General features: G+C 40.2%; 2 protein-coding genes and 1 long non-coding RNA gene across 4 annotated transcripts in view; 2 read left to right on the forward strand and 1 right to left on the reverse strand.

The window, feature by feature from the left end:
* FAM66B (family with sequence similarity 66 member B) overlaps positions 1-25,422 on the reverse strand; it is a 56,620-nt gene that overhangs the window by 10,031 nt on the left and 21,167 nt on the right. Inside the window, exons 3-6 of the long non-coding RNA NR_027423.2 lie at positions 16,363-16,424; positions 16,048-16,115; positions 15,523-15,590; positions 14,995-15,059 (exon numbers count right to left, since the gene is read on the reverse strand). This is a non-coding gene — a long non-coding RNA (family with sequence similarity 66 member B). The remainder of the gene's footprint in view (positions 1-14,994; positions 15,060-15,522; positions 15,591-16,047; positions 16,116-16,362; positions 16,425-25,422) is intronic.
* Positions 761-11,322, forward strand: DEFB109B (defensin beta 109B). 2 transcript variants are annotated; one of them, NR_172880.1, is made up of 3 exons: positions 761-858; positions 3,961-4,129; positions 11,030-11,322. NR_172880.1 is itself a non-coding variant. In NM_001037380.2 (2 exons), the coding sequence occupies exons 1-2, from the start codon at positions 4,072-4,074 to the stop codon at positions 11,175-11,177; spliced, it is 264 nt and encodes an 87-aa protein (NP_001032457.1). In that variant the 5' UTR covers positions 3,948-4,071; the 3' UTR covers positions 11,178-11,322. The 2 variants fall into 2 exon arrangements, 1 of the variants encoding a protein (NP_001032457.1); NM_001037380.2 differs by lacking the exon at positions 761-858 and having other exon boundaries at positions 3,948-4,129; positions 10,972-11,322.
* Positions 23,613-25,205, forward strand: USP17L1 (ubiquitin specific peptidase 17 like family member 1). The gene has a single exon (NM_001256873.1). The coding sequence runs from the start codon at positions 23,613-23,615 to the stop codon at positions 25,203-25,205; it is 1,593 nt and encodes a 530-aa protein (NP_001243802.1).

Raw genomic sequence — 25,422 nt, forward strand, 5'->3', positions numbered from 1 at the left:
ATGAGGTATGGAAGGACACTTATTATCCAAACAAAGACATTCCACTGGTGCTAGAGAGCCACAGACGGAAGTTTTCTCTGCCTACTGGAAATAAAGCCAAGCTTTCTTCTTTCCTCAGCCATGAGGATTGCTGTCTTCCTCTTTATCATTCTGTCTTTTTTTTTTTTTTTATGAGCCAAGCTCCACCAAATAACAGGATAAACTTTGTGTAAGGCTTGGTAAGAGTAGAGTGTCTGACACATTATGGTGCTATAATACTCAAAGCAAAAGCAAAATCGCCTATGACCAGAAAAGGGAGTCACATAGGAAATCTAGAAGACCTATTGGCTGAGAGACCTGCAGCCTCATAGTTCATTAGCTCTCCATAGCAACTCTCACATGAAATGAAGTCAGTGGTGTTTCAAGTGCTTGAAACCCTCTTTACTCTACTTCTAAATGTGAATTAATTAGGCAAGTTTACTAGCAGTTACTAGACCTCAAAAGCAAAATAATCAGGCATTATTCTACTAAATATTGGTCTCCATAACTCCTCTATTTTCTTTTGGAAAAGTTAGTTAGTCTAAGACATTTGGCATAAAGGCTATGCCAAAGCTTTGGTGGGGTCAGCCAGGAAGGATTCGTGGGGCCTCCTTGAAAATATTGCAATTATCTAAGAAATTTTCAACCTATTGCCCCTCAGTACTGTTGGTCCCCTGTACTTGACTTTTCCCCTTAAGTTTGATTCCATTTCCTAACATTATCCTTCCCTCTTCCTCCTCAGCAACTAGTCTTCTAAATTAGAACTTAAACACAATGACCAGATATGACCCTGCAACAGAGCATGCCCTTCTGCATTGAGCATGCAATCATGAATCACAGGTATAAGACCCCTTGAACAGACATGGTTTTGGTGATTCTGTGTAGGACTTATTGCTTTTACCCAAGAAGATGATCAGGCATCCTAAGTAGATCAGAAAATTTTCTGGAGCTCTTGAACTTGTATAGGCAAGAAAGATTAAGCAACATGTTGCCTTATATGAGGCAAACTATCTTCTCATATTTTCTTTTGAATTCAGGATTTCAAGGTTGGGGAAGGAGTGGGAAAGTAGCCATGGACGTGTAAGAATGCGGATCGTCCTTTTACATTGTCAGGGATGGTCAAATTCTATGCTTTATGTTGTTTGCTAAAAGACACTTTCCAAAGTTTTCAACAGAAAATATGATGGCACACATGCCTATTCTTGGTGAACCCAGACTTTTCTATCTAGTCTGTGATAGTAAATTTAAAAGGACTGCTTAGGGTAAATGAATCCTTCAAGTTATAAAGATGAAGGGCAGTTTTTGGACAATTCCCATTTTGCTGTAGGAAAACTAATCTGGAAGAAGTAAAAGGGAAAGATTGAAATGGAGATAATGGAGATGGAGAATGAGTTCAGTTGATCAAATTTTTGTTAAGCGCCCACTGTATGTGGGGCCCTTACAAGGAAACAAGCAGACAAAGAAAAAAAGCATGTGATGGCCTTGCTCCTAAGAAGCCAGAGGCCAGTCACCTGGATTGCTACATACCAGGAAGACGTCAACAAGCCCCTACAATACAGCACTTGCATAGGATGAAGAAGAGGTTTCTTTGTATGAGATAAATAGCACACAACCAAAAAAAAAAAGCCAAAAGATACACAAGGTTCGAAAACCTAAGTCACCAACCCTTAAGAGATCTGATTGTTGGTGGTGACTTTGGAAGGAAAATTATTATTAGGATTATTTTAGTACTAAGAGTTTTGAGCTGTCTATCCAAGATTGTCATCTGCACCTCTGCCTTAGGTAATACTGTGTGTGTGTGTGTGTGTGTGTGCATGTGCGTGCCTTTGCATGTGTTTGAAATATATTCTGTATCCCACACTCCACATAGGTTTGGGGCTGATCTGAAACTATACTCTTAGGGATGGGGTTAAGCTACTCTGTCACATTGTGAAGAGTTGATATGTAAGAGACTCTTAACCTTTTATAAATTACCTTTAAAATGTTTCCTTTTCTGTGAAGGGAAGAATAACAATTTGTAAACAAATGCAAAAATATCTTTAACTAAACAAAAGAACAGTTTGTTAGCCTTGTTATGATTAGCAGAGAGGATAGCTGCAGACACTGTAAAATCACTCAGCAACAAGATTTGACAAAACCTTAAATATGGGTCTATTTTTCCTGTTTTATAGAGGAAAATATTAAGGCTCTGGGAACTGAAGTGCTTTTCCCAACAGTGGAGTAAGTGTCAGAGTCAAGGCTGGGTTTTACATCCCAGCTTTCCCTATATATTCCACCCTATGGTTCTGTTGTGCTGTTCCTTTGTGTGACTCCGTAAAGCCTGCTTAAAAGTGATATCATATCAAATTGTATTAACTCAGTAGCACATAACACCAGGGAATTGATTTATAAGATTTTTATTCTTGTGGCGTTGCTGAAGACCCATCTGATTAGTAGTTATCAAGTAGTCATCCTGGCTAAATATATGGGTTTGATTTTTAATTTTGAAAATGAAAAATATTTTAAAATATATGTCTTACATCCATATCCCAGGAAATTCTAATCAAGTTTTAAAACTTTCAAATTTAGATAAACTAATGGTTTTTTGTTTTAATTTTCTCTCAATGAAAATAGAAGAAACTAATTGGATAGAACAGCACAGCAGAAGCATTACTTATAGCCATAAATGGGATAAAACAAGACTGAAGAAGAAAATGCAAGACAGTGCTTAAAAAAGCAGTCTAATGAAAAGTGAGGTCTCCTCTGGATGTCCTTAGGTAGACACTGCAGCAGAACTGTAAAGTTTTTCTGGAAGTCTGGGGAAGAGAGGAGGAAACAGAGAAGGGGCAAGAGGAGAAAATAGAATGAGGCTCAGAATACCAAGCCTTAGTGCTGTCCCTATCGCCTTCCTCGCTAGATCACTGGGTGATCCTGGGCAAGTTTCTTCCTTTCCCTCAGCTTATTTCCTCATCTGTAATGTAAGTGACTAGACAAGATAGCCTATGATGTTCATTGTAACTCTAACTTTTCCTTCCCAAAGCAAATAGCTGGAAAAGACACTGTGCTTACAATATGCAACAAATAAAAACAAAAGATTTTTAAAAACCCCTAGTGTAACTTGAATTCTTACAAATAAGCAATGGTACATCATAATTTTACAAAGCTCTTTTGTGATTTCATTTTTAAAATCAAGTCAAGTTTTATTTTACTTCATAATAAGATAATGGAGATAAGTGTTAAATGGGTTCATGAAGGAATGTTTGTAAAAGATGCAATAATCCAAAATAGGTAATTGTTATATTAGTAGTTCCCTTTACTTGGGTGGGGGGGGGGAACAGATAGAAGAGTGTTAGGAAAAGCTTCATAAAGTGGATTATATAGAATGTGCTTTAAAAGAGTTTGGTGTTTTACTGAGTGGGGAAAGAGCAATATGGGGAGTTATTGTTCAAGGGTTAAAGCTATAAAAAATGAATCAATTACAGAGATAGGCTCCAAACCATAGTACTTATAGTTAACAATAAGGTATTTTGTATTTAACAATTTGTTAAGAGGGTCGATCTTAGGGGTTCTGACAACAACAACAACCACAACAAAGGGACGTAGGAAACATTTGGAGGTGATGGATATATTATTACCTGGATATTGGTGTGGTAACAAGATAATACTTATGTGCAAACTTGCCAAACTATATCCATTAATTATGTACTTTTTGTGTATAACAATTTTACTTCAGTTCCTACTATATTGCCTGGCAAACAATAGATGTATAAAGTGAGATCAATGATTATTGCATATGCATGTCAAAAATAATAAAGAAAGCAGGTGACAATAAAGACATCCTGAATCTTTGGGAAATAAATAGCATTCACCTGCTTTCTCATCCATTGAGATATCACCACCTTTATGTACTTATGTGTCCCTGGAAGTTTCCCGTGGGAGATTTAGTTATTCTCTTTTCGTTAGGCTCTACTGACCAAGAACAAATCACAGACTCAGAGAGCATCATAAAAAGGCCTAGACCCACGATGCCCAGAGACTCCAGGCTCAACCCACATTGATGCTGGCCCTTCAGCCATGAGACTCCATTTGCTTCTCCTTATTCTCCTTCTTTTTTCAATTCTCTTATCCCCAGGTAAGTTGGTAGCTCATTACTATAAGGTTCTGCAGATGAGAATGCTATATCCCTGGCCAGACAAGAACCTAGAATCAGTCCTGTGGGTTCAAGAACCTAATATTTACAGCTTCACTAGGATTATAATAGGGAAAAATAGAAAAGAGACTCATTTAGCAGTATGTCCTCTTGATAAGATTCCATCCATGTCTTTTGACCTAGTGAGTGGATATAATAATGGATGCTGCTGAAATTCAATCCTGTCAGATGAAACTGCCTACATGTAAATTTCCATGCCCCACCAAGCACCTCAAGATACAAAGTAAGGATACAACAGAACATGACCTCAATGAGATGCCTTTGCGGGACATGGAAATTTATATGCAGGCAGTTAGATCTGACAGGATTGAATTTCGGTGGCATCTATTATTATATTCACTTAATAGGTCAAAAGAGATGGATGGTATCCTATCAATAGGAGCTACTCTAAATGGGTGTTGACAAATCTGAAGGTTTTATTCGAAGAAACAGAAAAACTATAATCCTAGAATAAATGAAAATTATATGAGAGACTTTTCAAAATAAATTATGTTTTATGTGGTTATGAATAAAAAATGATTTTCAAAGTGCAACTGAAGAGTAGAAAGGAGAGTTAAAGGAACTTCAGACAAGTGAATTAATAAGGAGCAAAGACACCAACAAGTGCTGCTCAAGGTATATTACAGGTAACCACACAGAAATGGGTAACATAACTTTCAATACAAAAATGGCTAAAATTTACTGGGCTAAGCATGCATTTTGGGGGCTTTTGGAAAAAAAAAACAGCATAATAAACCTAAAGAAGATAAAGGGAAAATTATAAATACAAAATATAAATTAATGAAACAAATGAGAAAAAACAGTATTTTAAAAAATGTTTTTCAAAAAGTCTAATACACTTTATAATAACCTGGCAACACTGAACAAGAGAAAATGAGAACATGCTTAAAATAACTATTGCAGGAATGAAAGGTTAATATCAAAACAGATGTTTCAGAGATTCAAATAATTTTTAAATTTGTGTATATTCCGTCTTCACTGTGTACTTGGGGATTTTCCTGTTGCAGTTCACTATATCATGACTGTGTCATCAATTTTGATGCTAGTAAATTATTACCATCAGCATACAAATATGCTGTTGTTTTTCTGATCTAAGAAAAAGAATTTCCTTGCTTTTCTTCTGATGCCAGCTGTCCTCCCCTTTTTTGCTCTACTTTTCAGCAAAACATCTTAGAATAGTTGTCCATATTCTCTGTCTTCAATTCCTCTCCTCTCATTGTTTCTTAAATATATCCCAATCAAGCTCTCATTGTTTCTTAAATATATCCCAATCAGGCTCTCTCCCCCTTTTTCGATCATGCTATTGACACCACTTTTGTCAAAGTTATGAATAATCTCCACATTGCTAGATCCAATGATCATTTTTCACTACAACTTTAATCGACCTATTAGCAGCATTTGACACAAATAATCACTTCCTTCTTCACAGTATACTTTCTTCATTTGGCTTCCAGGACGGCTCATTCACTTGATTCTCAGCCTGTCTCACTGGAGCTACCACTTCGGCTTCCTTTGTTTCTTCCTCATCTTTTGCTTCACACCTCCTACAGGAGAGCTCCAGAGCTCAGTTCCTGGTCCTCTTCTCTTCTCCCTCACCACACACTCTTTGGAGGGGCTCAGCAAGTCTCATCCCTTTCAATTCTCCTTTTGGACCTCCTTTTGAACTCCAGGCTTATAATAAATTATCCAACTGCATAACTGGTATATCTACTTGGACACTTGATTTCAAAAGTAATATATATCCAAAACCAGACTCACGATTTTCCCTCAGAAACCTCTACATACACATTTTTTCTCTTCTTGCAGAGTGCCATGGTCAGCATTGGAGCCTCTCTTAGCTTTCCTGTCCACTTTCATCCTCAGCAAGCCTCTATCTCTGCACCTCAAGAATCTCTCAGGGCTCCCATCCCTTGCCCAACCTCGGGCAGTAGCTGCCACACACTCAGTGAAAGACCAGAGAAACTACTTCTCTCAGCTACCGGCCCTGCCCTGCCTTCAGACCTCATCATGCCTCTCTTCTTATGCACCTGTGAGAACAGAGAGTGAAGGGGGGATTCTCTCAGCTCCCCAACCCACTCCCCAGTAACACAGGGTTTTCCTCGATTCTCACAGTGAGACCTTTACCTTGCTCTGACCTCAAATTGCACCAGTTCCTACATGCCTGTCCCTCAAAAGTGTCTCAGGTAGTTCTCCTGCTCTCCATCTGATCTTACCTAGGAGCACACAAGATAGGTCATGAAAAAACCATTAGTGGGGCCACACGCGGTGGCTCACGCCTGTAATCCCAGCACTTTGGGAGGCCGAGGCCGGCAGATCACGAGGTCAGTGGCTAACACGGTGAAACCCTTTCTCTACTAAATACAAAAAATTAGCCGGGTGCGGTGGTACATGCCTTTAGTCCCAGCTACTCGGGAGGCTGAGGCAGGACAATCACTTGAACCCTGGAGGCGGAGGTTGCGGTGAGCCGAGATCGTGCCATTGCACTCTAGCCTGGGCGACAGAGTGAGACTCCGTCAAAAAAAAAAAAAAAAAGAAGAAGAAGAATAAAGAAAGAAAGAGAAAGAAAGAAAAGAAAAGCATTAAATCATTAGTGAGTGAATGAGAGTGAGTGTGTTTGGGCCCCTACTGATGCTAAACTATCACAAGCCCACACTCAGCCTTTCAACATTTGCTTGAGGTTCACTTGTTTCCTTCTTATCTCCATCAAGGGCAGCTTCCTCCTGCTTCTGCTGCTGCAACTCAGGTACACACAAAGCATGTGTGGATCCGTTCTTTTTTCAGTAGGGCTTCATTACTCTGAATTTAAGTTAATTAGCTTTTTTTAAAGACTTCAGCTCTGTCTTTTAAAATGAAATCTATGATCTATAGATTATCCAGCTTATTCTTTTGTCAGGGCAAGAGCATTTTTCTATAACTTTCTAAATTCTAAACAAAAGTAAAAGTTCACTTCTTTCCAGAATCCCCCCATGTCAGAAAGTATTACTATTATCATCAGTTTAGTGATATTTATGGAATTCCAAGTTGACTCTGAGATCAGCTTTTGGGTTAAATTCTTTCTTCCTGATATATAGCCTTTGAAATTTTATTTGCTGCAGATCTCTTGGTAGTGAACAATTTTAGTTTTTATCTGTCAATTTTGTATTGTTATTTTTGTTCTTGAAAGACAACATTACTGAGTACCCAATTCTATATTAACAGTTATGTTCTCTCAACGTTTGTTGATACTAGTTTATTCATTTTTAGTTTGTGCTTCACTATGATATTCAGATAAATATTATTTCATTATAAATTGTCCTTTTTTCAATGTTTGTATGGTCTGGTGTTTGGTTTTAATATTTTATAATTTAACTAATGTGAATTTATTTTTATATCATCTGTTAGAAATATATTCTTTGAATCAATGGATTTATACTTTTTCTTAATTTCTTTTTGAGAATCTCTTGAAATGGTGAATCCTCTTACACTTCTCTTCCCGCATATTTGAATTAAATAAATGTTAGACCTTGTGTTTCCATGCTACATTCTGGGTATATCATTTAAGCATTTTTTTCTTTACTAATTATCCTGTTACCTATATCTAATATATCATTAATAACTTGCATTAATTTTTAAAATTTTTTAATTTAGAACTGCATTTTGGTTTTGTTTTGTTTTGTTTTTTTGGAGACAGAGTCTCACTCTGTTGCCGAGGCTGGAATGCAGTGTTGCAATCTTGGCTCACTACAACCTCCACCTCCTGGGTTCAAGTGATTCTCCTGCCTCAGCCTCCTGAGTAGCTGGGACTACAAGTGTCCACCACCATCTTCAGCTAATATATATATATATATATACATTTTTTTTTAGTAGAGACAAGTTTTCACCATCTTGGGCATGCTGTTCTTGAACTCCTGACCTCGTGATCCACCCGCCTCGGCCTCCCAAAGTGCTGCAATTACAGGCATGAGCCACCATGCCCAGCCAGACCTGCCCATTTTTTCTATCATCTATATAGCTTTACTATTGTTTTTACATCTTTGTAATAGTAGATTTTTTCTTTAAACAATCGATACACAGCTGCTTAATTATTTCTCCACATTGACAATTTCAATACATTTAGTTTTCAAGGATTTAAATGTGCTATTCATTTCATTAACTTTTATTCATGGTTTCTTTCTTACCTGATCATTTTTAATGATGAACTCATTGCTCATCCTTAATCTGCCATCATTCTACAGTCTGAAATAAGAATGCTATTATTCAAACTTCCTCTGTGAAACTGACTCAATCCTTTATCTCAATATAGAAGTTCCAGGATTAACGAACTGGAATTTCTGATGGCCCAAGAGTCAGTAGTACCACCATTAGCATTGTTGATAATAGCAGATCTTCCCAGAAGATATGGGAAACCCTCACCCACCTCCATCAGCTAGCCAATACAAAGTGCCTAGTGCTCAAGCTCCAGTTCACAGACTGTTTTTGTGTTTGAAAGAGGAGATATTTTAAGAACTTGCCTAACCATTTTCAAGAATAGAAATGTTTCAAAGAGATCGTCTAAAATGTATTTGTTCGATAGCAGCAGTCATTTGAGAGCAGCTAACTTGCAGTCATGGCCAAAAGCCTAAATCTTTCTTTCATTCTAATCACACCTATTTTATATATTTTGGAGATATTAAAGATTCAGATGTATTCATACTATTCTATGATTTGGGACACTGCTATAGATTCTTCAAAATGTTACAACATTCCAGTGGTATTTTGGGAGGTATAGAAGGTGAGAGGAAACAATGGGCTCAAGTCTCCCCTGACTTCTCTTCTTACAACATATTTCATTGTCCAAAACTTTTAGAACTATATCAATACAACATTGACAGTGGATATTCTTCTTTTCCTTCTGATTTTAATAGGATTGAAGGAAGTGCTTGCTATGAAATTGCTATATGGGTTGTAATCAGACAAATTTTGACTTTGAAAACGCAATATTCTTCTCATTATTTTAAAATGTTTACCAGGATTCACAGTATTATTTTCAATTCTCCCCGTTCAAAGGCATATTTAAATAACTTGATGAAAGGGCAATATTATATATGTTACTCTGCTATGGAAACAGAAAAAACCACCACCAAATTGTATTCTAGATACTTTGTACACCAATTGCACCATCTTTTTTTATCTAAGACATTCAGTTCTTCCACAGGTGGGAGCACATGAATTAGCATCATTTAGTACTTGTAGTTTTCACTACAGACTTTCAGACTTATGGTGCCTAAAGGAAATAGAATGCTTCTAGCTGGGTTTAAAAGCTACAAATAAACAGAGGAAATATACACTATTTTGAAAGTACCACTTGAGCGTTCTGTATGTATTTCAATATTATGTTGCTAATTTTAATTGTTCAAGGTTAAGGAGCTTAAACCTCCTCCTCATGCATTCCTGAATCATCCATTACTCGCACACATACATTGTTTGATACAGCATAAACCTAAGTAAGTAAAGATGTGGCAAAATGAAAAAAAAATAAAATAATGTGATACCATTCTTATCTAGGAATGGCATCAGTAGACAGATGTGAATAAAAGTAATGTGATTATAATTTTAAAAATCATATTTAATAGGATCCATTTATTATTAAATAAACATTAAATTACTTAATGTATAATAAACCCTTAACACGATGACAACTCTTAATGCAGAGTGAGACCAAAATGAAGGTATTAACTATTTTCTTCCTAATCCTTGCTTTAGTTGTTCTTTCCACCAGACTGTCACTTTATTCGAAGGATATTGTAATAGCACAAAGCCATCAGCTTTACCATTAGAGAGATCTTCATTAAATTATCTTTGTTGTAATAAAGGTCATCTGGAGGAAATACTGGTCTGAATACAATAATAAATGTTAAGCTTTCTAGTATTTTCCACTTTTAGACACAAATTGAAAGAATCATTTATAATGTCAAAAACACTTTTTTCTAACTAATCTATTCTATGACTAAGACACTATTAGCAATTAAAGTAGATAGATCAAATCTAAATATGGAGAGAAAAAGTAATTTCTACTTATGTTTAAACAGGTGAAACCACGAATAAATTGAAAGCCTGAAATATTAGCTTAGGGGAATAATGTCACTTTCGGGGAGCAGGAGCAGCATATACCAGCCTTTAGCTCTACACACTCCCCCAAAGAAAAAAAATATATAGATAGTTATGTACAAACCAAAATAGCACTGGGAGGGTTCAAGGGACCATTTAAGAAACTATGGCAACACAGTGAAGCCAACAAAAAAAAAAAAAAAGAGAGAGAGAGAGAGAGAGTGAAAGAAAAAAAAAATAGCCATATAGAAAAAACAGCTGCTGAAATCAGCATACCTGAGATGCCAGAAACATCTTTTTTGGCTAGAAACAAAAGCAGAAAGGGACTATCTGTATCAGCCACAAGGTGGAAGCACCAGGGCCCTCAGTAACCCACTCTGGCAGAAGACACTGGCATTTTTTGCCACTGGAGTAAGCAACATCCCTTTCTGACAGAAAACCCAGAGAAAAAGATGAAGAGGTACCATCTCCTCCCACATCCCTTTTCCCCACCAAAAATGCAGTGACTGTTGGGCCAAACCAGGATTGGAACTGCTACCTTTCTTAAACTGCATGTGTCTCTGACATATGAGCAGCAACCATGTCAAGAGCTCCCACATAAAAACGTTCATACTAAATTTATTCTGTTACTTAAGAGTGTTTATGGATTTACATTCCATTTGTGGACTAACTATCTCACTGGATCTTCTTTCCTTCAGTAAGAGGTGGTTTGGGTCCTGCGGAAGGTCATTGTCTCAATTTGTTTGGTGTTTGCAGAACAGATGTCTGCAACATAGTAGAAGATCAAATTGGTGCCTGCCGAAGAAGGATGAAGTGCTGTAGAGCATGGTGGATTTTAATGCCAATTCCAACACCACTTATCATGTCAGATTATCAAGAACCCCTTAAACCTAACTTGAAATGAAACTGAAACAAAATAAAAATACATCAAAAGTGAAGTTATTTGCATCTAAGAATATTAAAATATACATATTAAGTACTTCCATCTTGATAACCGTCTTGCATTTTCACTTATCAACATAAATGAATAAATACTAATTTCAAATACACCCAAGTACTATTTCTTTGTGAATCATTAACATATCTTAACAAAACTTTTAAAAATGAGAAAACTGTTACTTTTGTTTTCCAAGATGGTGGATTGAAGGCATTGTTAGTCTGCCTCTTGCACTTGGAAAGAGAAATTGGTGTGTAGAGACTCACACTGTGAACTTTCTTTCAAGAAGCAACACAGGAATTTAACAGGAAAATTGAAATAAGCCACAGACCATTTGAAAGAAACAGCAGGATGCAGCTTACACCATAAGCTAGGCAGAAAATTGTAAGTTTCCAGGGTGTGACAGGAGGGTAACTGACTCTAAGATATACGCTTCCACTGGGAAACCTATCAATCCAGGCCGTGAGGGAAGGCCTTAACCCTCCTCAGCGCTGGAGCTGATTTAGGGAAGAGTGGTGAGTATATGAGGAGTGGCATTGGGATGTGCTTTGAATCTCCAGCACATTCCCAGTTTCTGGTAGAATGGAGGGAAGCCATTGCTGATTCTACCTCAGACAGGACCTCCTAGAAGTCTGCCAGGTAACTCAGATGGTTGTCACAGGTTGAGACAACCTCCCAAATGAAATGTGTGATATAATCTTGACTGGGGACAAACTCCCCAGGCCAGAACTGAGAGGTGAGTGGGAAGTGTGCTGCAGCAGCAAGCACAGGAGCTGGGGGCCCCTGCTCTGCAGGTGGATCAGGAAGGGTGTGGCCTGAAGGTTGCAGTTGCTGTCTCCATAGGGGAGACTTATGGTATGGGTCAGTTTTGAGTTCTGAGCCCAGACTTCTTGAAGCTTAGCTAGCTACTCCCATTGGAACACTGTGGGTGTGAGACCTGCCTTGCCAAGTGTGTGGGAGCTGGATGGGGCTTACTACCAAGCTGCTACTCCCCATTCTTCACATAGACTCTCCTTGTACAGAGGCAGTGACAGTTTCACTTCTCTCTGGAAAATTACTCCAGTGGCCCAAGAACAGCCTTCCAATTCCCACTGGAGCCACTGCTTGTCCCACACATAGACAGCCAGAGCATCACCTTACCTGACCTAGTTCCCACCTGGCTTTGCTCAACCACCTACCCTGGTAGATTAACACAAATAACTGAAGAAACTTTTAGAAGCTCTTTGGCTCCACTTATTTCCTGAGACACCAGAGTGCCTCCAATGGGTAACATAAGGCAAGTCCAAATCTCACCACTACCACCACAGCTGGCAGTCTTTTGGAAGCACCACCTCCTGGCTGAAGGCCTACTGACAGTCCTTTACAGCATCTGCAGGTAGAATAACATAGCACCCAGGAAGGAGAAAAGTTGTGAGTGACCACAACTTTTACCATTGCTTGCATCATTCTGGCTAAGCAGGAGGCCCTGAGTCTGTCCATGTGATGAGTTCATTACTACTACAACTGGCATTTGAGAAATCCAATACACAACACACTAGGACTATTTATAACCAAGGAATCTTTCAGAGTCTACAACACTCCCCTGCCATCCCCATCTGATCAGCTGCTGATACACACTGCTGTGAGACGTGAGGACAAATTATATCACTGGATCCATTGCAGACATTCTTGAGCACCAGCCTGGTGTGCGGCATCCCCACTGGGTAGCTAGACCCAGAGAAGCAGCAGCAGCATATGCAGTAATCTGAATTTCATGGCCTCCTACTCTGAGGAAAGAGGAAGCACACCACATCAAGGGAGCACCCTGGGGACAAAATAATCTAGATGGCCTTGAGTCCCAGAACATTCCACTTGTGGGAAGTTGTTTGGTGGTTTGTTTGTTTTTGTTTTTATTTCCAGCAGAGGAACATGTGCATGCTAGGCTCAGCGAGGAAAGTCTGTAGCTATATCTCAACAATCAGGCAGCCTTGATGCTCAAGAAGAGTCTTGGAGAATGGGGACTTATTTTCCATCTCATACACTACTGCAGACACAATAGTACTGTACTCAGAGCCAGTGTACTGAGGTGAGTGGCCATAAAACCTACTGAGACACCAGCCAGGAGAGCTAAAGGAGTACTTGCATTACCACTCCCCCAACCCCAGGCAGCACAGCTTGCAGCTCCAAAAAAGACCGCTTCCTTCTGCTAGAGGAGATTAGAGGAAAGAGTAAAAAGGACTTTGTCTTGCATCTTGGATATCAGTTGAGCCACAGTAGGATAGGGCCCTGGTCAGGGTCATGAGGTCCCCACTGTGGATGTAACTAACTTTTTTTTTTTAATTTTATAGGCTGATAGGCAGAAGGGACTTGTCTCAAATAAGACTTTGGACTTGGAGTTTTGAGTTATGCTGGAAACAGTTAAGACTTTGGGGGACTGTTGGGAAAGCATGATTGGTTTTGAAATATATATAAAATACATGAGATTTGGGAGGTGCCAGGAGCAGAATAATATGGTTTGGCTCTGTGTCCCCACCCAAACCTCATCTCAAATTATTATCCCCACACATCGACAGAGGGACTTGTAATCGCCATGTGTCAAAGAAGTTTACTTCATGCTATACTCATGATAGTGAGTGAATTCTTAGGAGATCTGATGGTTTTAAAAGTAGGAGGTTTTTTTTTTCTGTGCACTCACTTCTCTCTCCTGCCACCTTGTGAAAAAAGGTGCCTGCTTCTGTCTTGCCTTCCACCATGACTGTAAGTTTCCTGAGGCCTCCCCAGCGATGCAGAACTGTGAATTAATTAAACACCTTCCCTTTGTAAATTACCCAGTGTGGGGTAGTGTCTTTACAACAGTGTAAAAATGGACTAATACAGGTTCCCTGAAATATTCTGAGTCCCTTTGGAGGCAAGAATCTCTTTATACCAGCATGGTATACTGATGAAGTACATCCTGATCTCATGGGCTAAGAAAGAATTTATACATACCCTTTATGTGTCAGCAACTCTATGTGCAGGCTTTTGAGACCCAGAATGGGCTTTCTTGCCCCATCTAGTCTATGTAACATTTTTCTAAGCCAACTCAATGTCTTTCATCCACACTGGGATAGGTCCTAAATTGCTGTCTGTTGCCCACCTGAGATAATGACATGTTGTTAAATCAGGTGTGTGTGACCCTGATACGTCTATCTGAGTGGCAGGAGAGGGTCTATCTGTTCACAAGAGTCTCTGCAACATTTTCTAAGTCAGTTCAGAAGCTTATTGATTCACCTTTGCAGGCAATGTAGCCATGAGAAAGGTCTCCAAAAATTCCTGACCTTCTGGAAATTTTTAAAGTCTCCGCAGGTTTCCAGAGGTGACTGTAGCTGCACTGAAAGTCACTGCCTGGATAACTGGCCTGTTAAAGCAAAGGCAAAATATGTCAAGCCCACTAAGAATACCCAGAAGCCATGGTATTCAATTAATTTTTGTCTTTCTTGCAGGTGGGAGAATACTGAGGATTATGCCCTCCTATAGCCAGTGAAGGTTACTCCAGTGCCTAGATGTACCAGTCAAGAGAGGTCATGGGAGAGCAGATGGCAGAAAGGGCAGCCAGGTCCTTTCGCTGGGGTTTACTGCTTGTCATGAGCTCTGCTGCTGGGCAGCATGTGTGATTTCTGACTCCTGCCATGTCCTCAAGAAGCCTTGCCCCATCAGCCAGCTGTCCTACCTCCTGAAAGCTGGTGCATGTTTGTTAACATGGAGATCCAGAACAAGAGTCACTTTAGTATTTATCCATAGAGTCCCCATGTGTGCACATGCTTACCTGCAGGTTGTTTTTCCTATTTTTCTGAATGTTAATCCTTGCCTTCTGGAACTCGATATTACCCCCTGTGGCCAAATATGGGATAATTGTAAGGGGAAACTGCTCTTTAGGTCCCAAGTCCACAGGGTTAGTACTATTATCAATATTAAAATTATTAATTATGGATATTAGTATCATAATAATCATCATCATTCCTGTTAATACTCATCAATATGTTTATTATTATTATCATTAAGATGGTTTATTAATGTTATTATTCAGTAATAAATGTTTAGTTTCTCCATTCACTCAGTCAAACTGGAGTCTGACTCCCGATATGACTATGGATATGACTGCATATGACTATGAGTGTTACCCTGCAGATATAGACATGAACCGCTGTCCCAGAGACAGCTCTTGCAGGCACTAATTGCTCTTTCATAGGATGAGTTCCTTACAGGAGAGAAGGGCTGATCTCCATGATGTGGTTTCCTCAGGGTCTCATTAAGGGCTGGTGATACAGGAGCACTGCCTACCCCTCTTACTCACGTGAGAGTGGTACATTCTCTGTTGTCATGGCTGGGATGGCTCCATGTTGAACATATAAATTCCAGGTTCTAGAAGCAAAAAAGCAAAAGATGCATTGGATCTGCATAGGGAACTGCAAGCCATCCAGCAACCACAGGACACAGTCAGAAACAACCACGTGGACCACATCGCCCAAGCTCAGCTGCATGGCTCTCCATTGGGTTAGGACGAGGACCTATTCCACCAGGCTCAACTGGAGTCCTATCCCTGGTCCCAGGACCACAAGGAGCATCTCTTTTTTTGGAATCACACTGCTCCATTCGAAGGACAGCCCTCAGTTCTCTATCTTCAAAAGAGGCTGCAAATGGTGCTGATTGGGAGGGAGCCACCAGCAGCATCACCCTCTACAACTATAAAATAAAACTGTCTCCCAGGGTGGGATATTATGCTGACCCTACCTAAAAGCACATTTCCTAGATGTTGCTTGTTGCCTGGAGTTTGAACAGCATTGTCCAAACTTTGCCATTGAAGAACAAGGAAACTTACCTGGGGTAGTTGCAGGAGTAGGCCTAAATCCAGGTGTGAAGATCCTTGAACTGGGGGTGTTTCTGTACCTGTAGAGATTGCAGACTGGGAAAGGTAAGGCTCTGGTCCTGCCAGGCTCTCTAGAGGTTAAGAATGTGATCTGCAGAAAGACATGAACTAGCACAGGCTACTGTAGAACATCTGCCCCCAAGAATCATAAATGCCTTTTCACTCATCCTGCAGAATGCACTCTCTACTTTAATGATCGTGTGGGATGTGACTTTAATTTTTAGGCATGGGGATTGATCTTAAGAAAAAGCAGGCAAAGTGCCTTACCTGTCCTGGGACTCTGCTCCACTTGCCAACATTTGAGTGGATTCATTTGTGTGGTAGTCAAGCTACAGGAAATAAAGGGACCAGTCAGTCTTCCACACAATGACACAGAGGCCAATTATCACAAGTCCAAATCTCCATTTGTCATCCAGCTCACATTCCCGCTGTGGCACAAGGTCACATGCACTCGTGTCCAACTCCAAATAGTAGCTTCACGTAGTATGCCAGCACTCTCCCACCCATCACCTCTTCTAGAAGGTCTTCCGCTGGATTGGAAATGGCCTGGGATAAAAGATAATGACCACAGGAAGCAGTTGTTTTTTTAGGATCTGATCCACATGAGAAGGTAGGACATCTAATTTGGTCTGAGGACTTTAGCTATGCTAATATTTCAGGTAACTGTCCCCTGTGTCTATAGATTTACAATGGGAATGGAGTGAGAGATGATGAAAACTGTTTTCTTTCCTAGTGAGTATGAGGTAGAACCCTTACATCATGCTCTCTGTTACCTGTTCTCCATACAGAGCCATCTCCCATTTAGAGAGAAGACATGGATTGTCAGTGGGAGCAAGCCTGAGATATGCCCACTGGCAGCTCCCAGAAACCCCTGAAACCTGGCCACATCATGAAGTTTCAACTGTGGGTCTCATGCCTCTCTTGGTATCTTGAATTCAGAACATTTAATGTCATGGCAGGCCAGGGAACTTCCTCTGCTCTAGTTTGGCTCTCTATCGCACATTCACCGCCCCCCCACCCCCCGCCACACACACACAAAGTCACACACACTCACACATCAACCTACTGGCAAACCAAGGTAGAAACACACACACACACACACACCTGCTCAATCCAGGCCAATATCCCTGATGAACATTAATGCAAAAATTCTTAATAAAATACTAGCAAACAGAATCCAGCAGCACATCAAAAAGCTTATCCACCACAATCAAGTCGGCTGCATCTTTGGGATGAAATGCTGGTTCAACATACACAAATGAATAAATGTAATTGATCACATAAACAGAACCAAAGACAAAAACCAGACAATTATTTCAATAGATGCAAAAATGCCTTTGATAAAATTCACCATCCCTTCATGTTAAAAACTCTCAATAGACTAGGTACTGATGGAACATATTGCAAAATAATAAGAGCTGTTTATAACAAACCCACAGCCCACATCATATTGAATAGGCAAAAGCTGGAAACATTCCCTTTGAAAACTGGTACAAGACAAGGATGTCCTCTGTAACCTCTTCTATTCAACATAGTATTGGAAGTTATCACCAGGGCTATCAGGCAAGAGAAGGAAATAAAGGGTATTCAAATAGGAAGAGAGTAAGTGAAGTTGTCTCTGTTTGCAGATGACATGACTTTATATTTAGAAAACCCCATCATCTCAATTCAAAAACTTCTTGAACTGGTAAGCAAGTTCACCAAGTTCTCAAGATATTAAATCATTGTGCAAAAATCACAAGCATTCCTTTACATCAACAATAGTCAAGCAGAGAGCCAGATCAAGAATGAACTCCCATTCACAATTGCTACAAAGAGAATAAAATACCTAGGGATACAGCTAGGAGTACAAGGGATGTGAAGGACCTCTTCAAGGACAACTGCAAACCACTGCTCAAGGAAATAAGAGAGGACACAAATGAATGGAAAAACATTTCATCCTCATGAATAGGAAGAATCAATATTGTGAAAATGGCCATACTGCCCAAACTAATTTATAGATTCAATGCTGTACCCATCAAGCTACCATTGACATTTTTCACAGAATTAGAAAGAACTATTTTAAATTTCATATGAAATCAAAGAATACCCCGTATACCCAAGACAATTGTAAGCAAAAACAACAAAGCTGGAGGCATGACGCTACCTAACTTCAAACCACACTAGAAGGCTACAGTAACCAAAACAGCATGCTACTGCTGCCAAAACAGACATATAGACCAATGGAGCAGAACAAAGCCCTCAGAAGTAACACCACACATCTACGACCATCTGATCTTTGACAAACCTGACAAAAACAGGCAAGGGAGAAAGGATCTCCTATTCAGTAAATGCTGCTGGGAAAACTGGCTTGCCATAGGCAGAAAACCAAAACTGGACCCCTTCCTTACATCTTATACAAAAATTAACTCAAGATGGATTAAAGACTTAAATGTAAAATCCAAAACCATAAAAACCCTAGAAGAAAACTTAAGCAATACCATTCAGGACATAGGCATGGGCAAAGACTTCATGACAAAAATGCCAAAAGCAATTGCAACAAAAGCCAAAATTGACAAATTGGATCTAATTAAACTAAAGACCTTCTGCACAGCAAAGAAACTATCATCAGCATGAAAAAGCAACCTACAGAATGGGAGAAAATTGTTGCAATCTGCCCATCTGACAAAGGTCTAATAACCAAAGTTGACAAGGAACTTAAACATATTTACAAGCAAAAAAACAAACAACCCCATCAAAAGTGAGCAAAAGATATGAACAGAAACTTATCAAAAGGAGACATTTATGCAACCAACAAATATATTTTTAAAAAGCTCAACAACACTGATCATCAGAGAAATGAAAATCAAAATTACAGTGAGATACCATCTCACACCCGTCAGAATGGCGATTATTAAAAAATTAAGAAACAATAGATGCTGGTGAGGCTGAGAAGAAAGAGGAAGGTTTTTACACTGTTGGTGAAACTGTAAATTAGTTCAACCATTGTGGAAGACAGTATGGCTATTCCTCAAGGATCTAGAACCAGAAATACCATTTGACCCAGCAATCCCATTACTGGCTATGTACCCAAAGGAATATAAATCATTCCACTATAAAGACACATGCACACATATGTTTACTGCAGCACTATATACAATAGGAAAGACATGAAACCAACCCAAATGCCCTTCAGTGCTAGACTGGATAGGAACAACACACAACACAGCCCGTTGGGGGCTGGGGGTGAGGGAAGGAAACTTACAGGATAAGTCAATAGGTGCAACGAACCACCATAGCAAAGGATACCTTTATAACAAATCTGCTCGTTCTGCACATGTATCCTGTATTTTTTAAATTTAAAAAGAGGAAATACATACATACATACATACATGCATACATACATACGTATGTACATACTTTTGAAAAACGTCTATACAGCTTGGATCTTCATTCCTGATAAGCCAAGGAACCTGGAGAAACACCAGAATTCTGTCCCTCTGAGAATGCCGGACAGGTTTACCTTCATCACCATAAAATTTTGGAACAAATGTGGTAACTGCAGGTTCTCCCCACAATGAGTAACTGAAAATTGAGGCAGTATTTCAGATCCTAAAAAACTGATGAAGTAATTCGCCACACATTTGGGTTGTTTTTGCCTTTTCCTACTATGAAGATTGCTAATAGGAAGAATAGTGTACAAGTATCTGTTTGATTCCCTGCTTTTAGAATCCTTTGCTTGTTTGTGTGTTTGTCTGTTCCTTCTTGAGACAGGATGTCACTCCAGTCAGCCAGGATTTTCCAGTTTGTAATTTTTGTTGTTTCCTTTTGTCAAGTTTTAGAAGTTGTTATTTTATTTCTATTGAATTTTAAGGCATTTTTAGATATGTATTAAAACATTATCACACAGGCCGTGTGTTACATTGCAATTATTTTCATCATTCCTTTAAGAAACAAAAGATTTAGCTTAGATATCTTCCAATTTGTGAATCTTTTCTGATTTTGACTTTTTTAAAAATGCTGTCATATACAAGAAACCCTTGGATTAAAAATGCCATGAATATTTCTCTTTTCTTGCAGTCATAACTTCGGTGTATGTCATCAATTAGTCTCTGGTTTATAGCATGTTTTCTTGAAAGTGTTTCACAATGTATTTTGGGCATTGAGAATTTCATCAAACTTAAGTGAAGGTTTCGACATTCACTATTGAAGGGAATAGTCCTATTTGATGCCTTATTATTTGCATATCTTGCTTCCACAAGAACACTTCACGCAAAGACTTGTCTTCTCCCCAATGCCAGATCATTACAACATGACATGGAATCAACTGGCCAAAAATGGGAAGGTTATCTCTGGAATGTCTATTTGACTCCATTGATCACTTCATCTTAATTAAGACAAAAAATATGCTGTGTTAATTACCTCACATTGTTGCAAATTCTCAAGTCAGAAAATGTAGTTATAACTTCTTGGCATTTAGTCACTGAAAGAATGATCTTATCTCACAGATGCACATGCTTGGAAGTACTTCTCAAGGCATACACACACATCCAGAAACAAACACACAAATACACTCATACACACAAACTGTTTAATATGTACACAATTGTTAAATAGCATTGTTATACATGAAATAAGGCAAATGTTTAGCTACTATCCTAACCCGGTTCCACTCCTAACATATTTGCTCATAATACTGACAAGTAAATCTGCTTCAACCCTTCCATAGTCACAATGTAAGCAGTGTCCATTAAATTCTCTGAGGAATGCAAGAGGATACAACCTAAGACAAAAAACTTAATTGAATCCTGATATTTCATTAGTAAATAGGGTAATTGATGGATAAATGTAATGGTCTCGGTGGGTGGACAGTAGTTAAATAAGGGCTGATGCAGCAAGATAATTATTTAAAGGCGTTTGAAAGAAATTGAAACAGGAGAGTGGATGTATTCAGCTAAAATAAAATCCGGAAGCCCTGAAATAAATCTCATTTTGCGGGTAAAAAAATGGCATTGGAGGAGATTCTGGGTCAATCATGAAGCTGTGAAAGTTGCATCTTGGAAGCAGGATCCCTGTAATGAAACGAGACTTGTTTATCAGAGGTGGTCTTTCAGAGGAAAAGATTTTGAAGAATGGCCCCTTCCTTTTGTGTATTTGACGATTAGATTTCATGCCAAATTTCGGGTTTTAAACTCTATTTAAACGTTAAAAGAATTAACTAAAATGGCAAAAAAACAAGAAATTTTTTGATTAGGAATCGTCAAATATTCATTTCTTGTTAGATACAGTTACCAAACACGACCTACCGGAGAGAAACAATTGTGGAGAATGGCCCCTTATTTTTGTATATTTGCTGATTAGATTTCATAGTCCATTTCTCATTAGGTACAGAGATCAAAGTTGACCTACCCAAGAGTAGAGATATCCAGGACAGAACTCAGGGCACGGTAGAACCACAGAATCTTGGGTGAAATATTGCTCAAGAACAAAAATGTGCTTATTCAGCGTGTTTCTGTGTGACATGTGTGGAAACTAAAGTGCAATGAGCATGACACGAAGACAGAATATCAATTCGGCTCACCTCAAATCAGTTGTGAGCATTAAAGAAAACCAATTCCTAGGTCCCGCTTAAAGAGATAAGACCATCCAACAACCTGTGTGAAGCCACCGCATCTGGCTTGCTCATGATTCTGGGGATCATTCTCCAGAAAATGGTGGCTCCTTTCTCCCTGTGGAGCATCTTTCTAAGCAGTGCCCTTTCTTCCCCCAGGACACTTTACATGAGGTGCAGGAAGCCTTCTGATGGAGCACACCTGGCCCATGAAAAGACAAGGGAAAGAAAAAGGGCCAAAGGTCACAGTCCTCTCATTACATCATCATCCTTAAAATCATCCTAATTTCATGAGCCCTGAAGACAGGGCTGTTTCTTTACACCTAGAGGCCTTGGCGCCGGGCCTCAATTCTGCCCTGTTCCTTACTGTCTAAGACATTTTGGGAAAATCACTAGAGCCAGGACCTTCATTCCTGGTAAGCCAGAGAGCCGAAAGACACACCCAAATTCTGTCCCTCTTAGTTCAGGGAACAGGTCTACTTTCGTCAGCATTACAATTTTTGCACCAAATGTGCTAACTGCAATTCCACCATACAATGCATAACTGGAAATGGAGGGAACATCTCAGATCATGAACAATCGATGAGAGAATCCAGGAGATACACGGCTTATTTTTGCCTTTTCCCTGTGAAACAAGGGCAAGTATTAAAAACTTTATGCTGTCTTCTATTTCACTGCCTGCTTTTAAACGTCTCCGATGTATTCTTCTTGAGAAAGGGCCTCACTACTGTCACCTGGGCTTTTCTAAGGTATAATTTTCCTTGTTTGCTTTTGTCAAAATTAGAACATTTTATTTCATATCTATGAAATGTTGATCCATTATCACATACGTATGGAAATAGTATCACCAATGCTGTGAGATAAGTTGTTTTTATTTTGGTCAATTCTTTAATAAACAAAAGCTTATAGTTGGGATACCTTCTGATTTCTCAAGGTTTTTGTTTCATGTTTTCTTAAACTGCCGCCGCACGTCCGAAACCACTCACTATACAATGTCAGGACCATCTCTCTTTTCTGGCACACATAAATTTGGGGAATGTCATCAATTAGTCTCTCGGTGATTGCATGATTTCCCCAAAGTCTTTCACAGTCTACTTTGTGCAATGAGTATCTCTTCAAACTTCAGTGCATATTTCTACCATTTGATGCTTTATTATTTGGCAACCTAGCTTCCACAAGAGCATGTCAGGCAAAGAGTTCTCTTGTTCTCCACTGGAAGGTAATTTCATTCGCACAGAGAATCAATAGGCTGAACGTAGAAAGGTTATCGCTGGAAGCTCTGTTTCATTCCACGGATCTCTCCTTTCTTATTAAAGAAAAAAATACGCTGTGCTAAATACCATACTTCATTGACTAATCTCAGGTCAGAAAGCACACTTCCGATTTCTTGTCCTTCTGTCGCTGAGAGGATGATGATAGCTGCCAAAAGTACATACTTGGAAGTTCATCCCAGCACGAGCACACACACACATAAACACACACACACACACACACACACACACACACACACAGACACACACAGGGTTTCATAGGTAAAGATTTCTTCCCTGACATTCTTTTACCTAAAATAAGGCAACTGTGCGGCCACTGCCCAAACCCGGTTACACTCATATTATATGTGCCTATCACCCTGAGGAGTAATTTGATTCAGGTGTTCTAGAAGTCATGATGTGGGCTGTGTCTGTTGAATTCCCAGCGATGCAAGGGGACACACCCTGTGACTCATTCCTTAATTGAGTGCTGATATTTGATTGTTTTATCGCGCACCTGATGGGTGGGTGGGGTGTTCGCGGTTGGTGGGGGTGAGTTCTATAAGGGATGATGCGGCCAGAGAGCTCGTCATTTGAAGACTCTCTCGGAAGAGATAGCGTCTTGCTGCAACCTGCGGTCCCAGCAGAAAAACCTTGTGATCCTTGTTGCGGGCGACATGGGGGACGACTCACTCTACTTGGGAGGTGAGTGGCAGTTCAACCACTTTTCAAAACTCACATCTTCTCGGCCAGATGCAGCTTTTGCTGAAATCCAGCGGACTTCTCTCCCTGAGAAGTCACCACTCTCATCTGAGACCCGTGTCGACCTCTGTGATGATTTGGCTCCTGTGGCAAGACAGCTCGCTCCCAGGGAGAAGCTTCCTCTGAGTAGCAGGAGACCTGCTGCGGTGGGGGCTGGGCTCCAGAATATGGGAAATACCTGCTACGAGAACGCTTCCCTGCAGTGCCTGACATACACACTGCCCCTTGCCAACTACATGCTGTCCCGGGAGCACTCTCAAACATGTCAGCGTCCCAAGTGCTGCATGCTCTGTACTATGCAAGCTCACATCACATGGGCCCTCCACAGTCCTGGCCATGTCATCCAGCCCTCACAGGCATTGGCTGCTGGCTTCCATAGAGGCAAGCAGGAAGATGTCCATGAATTTCTCATGTTCACTGTGGATGCCATGAAAAAGGCATGCCTTCCCGGCCACAAGCAGGTAGATCATCACTGCAAGGACACCACCCTCATCCACCAAATATTTGGAGGCTGCTGGAGATCTCAAATCAAGTGTCTCCACTGCCACGGGATTTCAGACACTTTTGACCCTTACCTGGACATCGCCCTGGATATCCAGGCAGCTCAGAGTGTCAAGCAAGCTTTGGAACAGTTGGTGAAGCCCGAAGAACTCAATGGAGAGAATGCCTATCATTGCGGTCTTTGTCTCCAGAGGGCGCCGGCCTCCAACACGTTAACTTTACACACTTCTGCCAAGGTCCTCATCCTTGTCTTGAAGAGATTCTCCGATGTCGCAGGCAACAAACTTGCCAAGAATGTGCAATATCCTGAGTGCCTTGACATGCAGCCATACATGTCTCAGCAGAACACAGGACCTCTTGTCTATGTCCTCTATGCTGTGCTGGTCCACGCTGGGTGGAGTTGTCACGACGGACATTACTTCTCCTATGTCAAAGCTCAAGAAGTCCAGTGGTATAAAATGGATGATGCCGAGGTCACTGTCTGTAGCATCATTTCTGTCCTGAGTCAACAGGCCTATGTCCTCTTTTACATCCAGAAGAGTGAATGGGAAAGACACAGTGAGAGTGTGTCAAGAGGCAGGGAACCAAGAGCCCTCGGCGCTGAAGACACAGACAGGCGAGCAAAGCAAGGAGAGCTCAAGAGAGACCACCCCTGCCTCCAGGCACCCGAGTTGGACGAGCACTTGGTGGAAAGAGCCACTCAGGAAAGCACCTTAGACCACTGGAAATTCCTGCAAGAGCAAAACAAAACGAAGCCTGAGTTCAACGTCGGAAAAGTCGAAGGTACCCTGCCTCCCAACGCACTTGTGATTCATCAATCAAAATACAAGTGTGGGATGAAAAACCATCATCCTGAACAGCAAAGCTCCCTGCTAAACCTCTCTTCGACGACCCGGACAGATCAGGAGTCCATGAACACTGGCACACTCGCTTCTCTGCAAGGGAGGACCAGGAGAGCCAAAGGGAAGAACAAACACAGCAAGAGGGCTCTGCTTGTGTGCCAGTGATCTCAGTGGAAGTGCCGACCCACACGTAGGGGTGCACGCACACACACACACACACAAATACACCCACAAGCACGCACGCAAACACACACACACACACCCCCAAACAAACCCGAACACCGTCAATCCTACATAAAGTAATGAGGAGTCCAAGTTTCTGTCTCTACAACAGGGACAACTGGATAGTGATGGCTGTATCTCAGGATGAGCCCACACATGG

Source organism: Homo sapiens, chromosome 8 (assembly GCF_000001405.40).
Source record: "Homo sapiens chromosome 8, GRCh38.p14 Primary Assembly".
Lineage (NCBI taxonomy): Eukaryota > Metazoa > Chordata > Mammalia > Primates > Hominidae > Homo > Homo sapiens.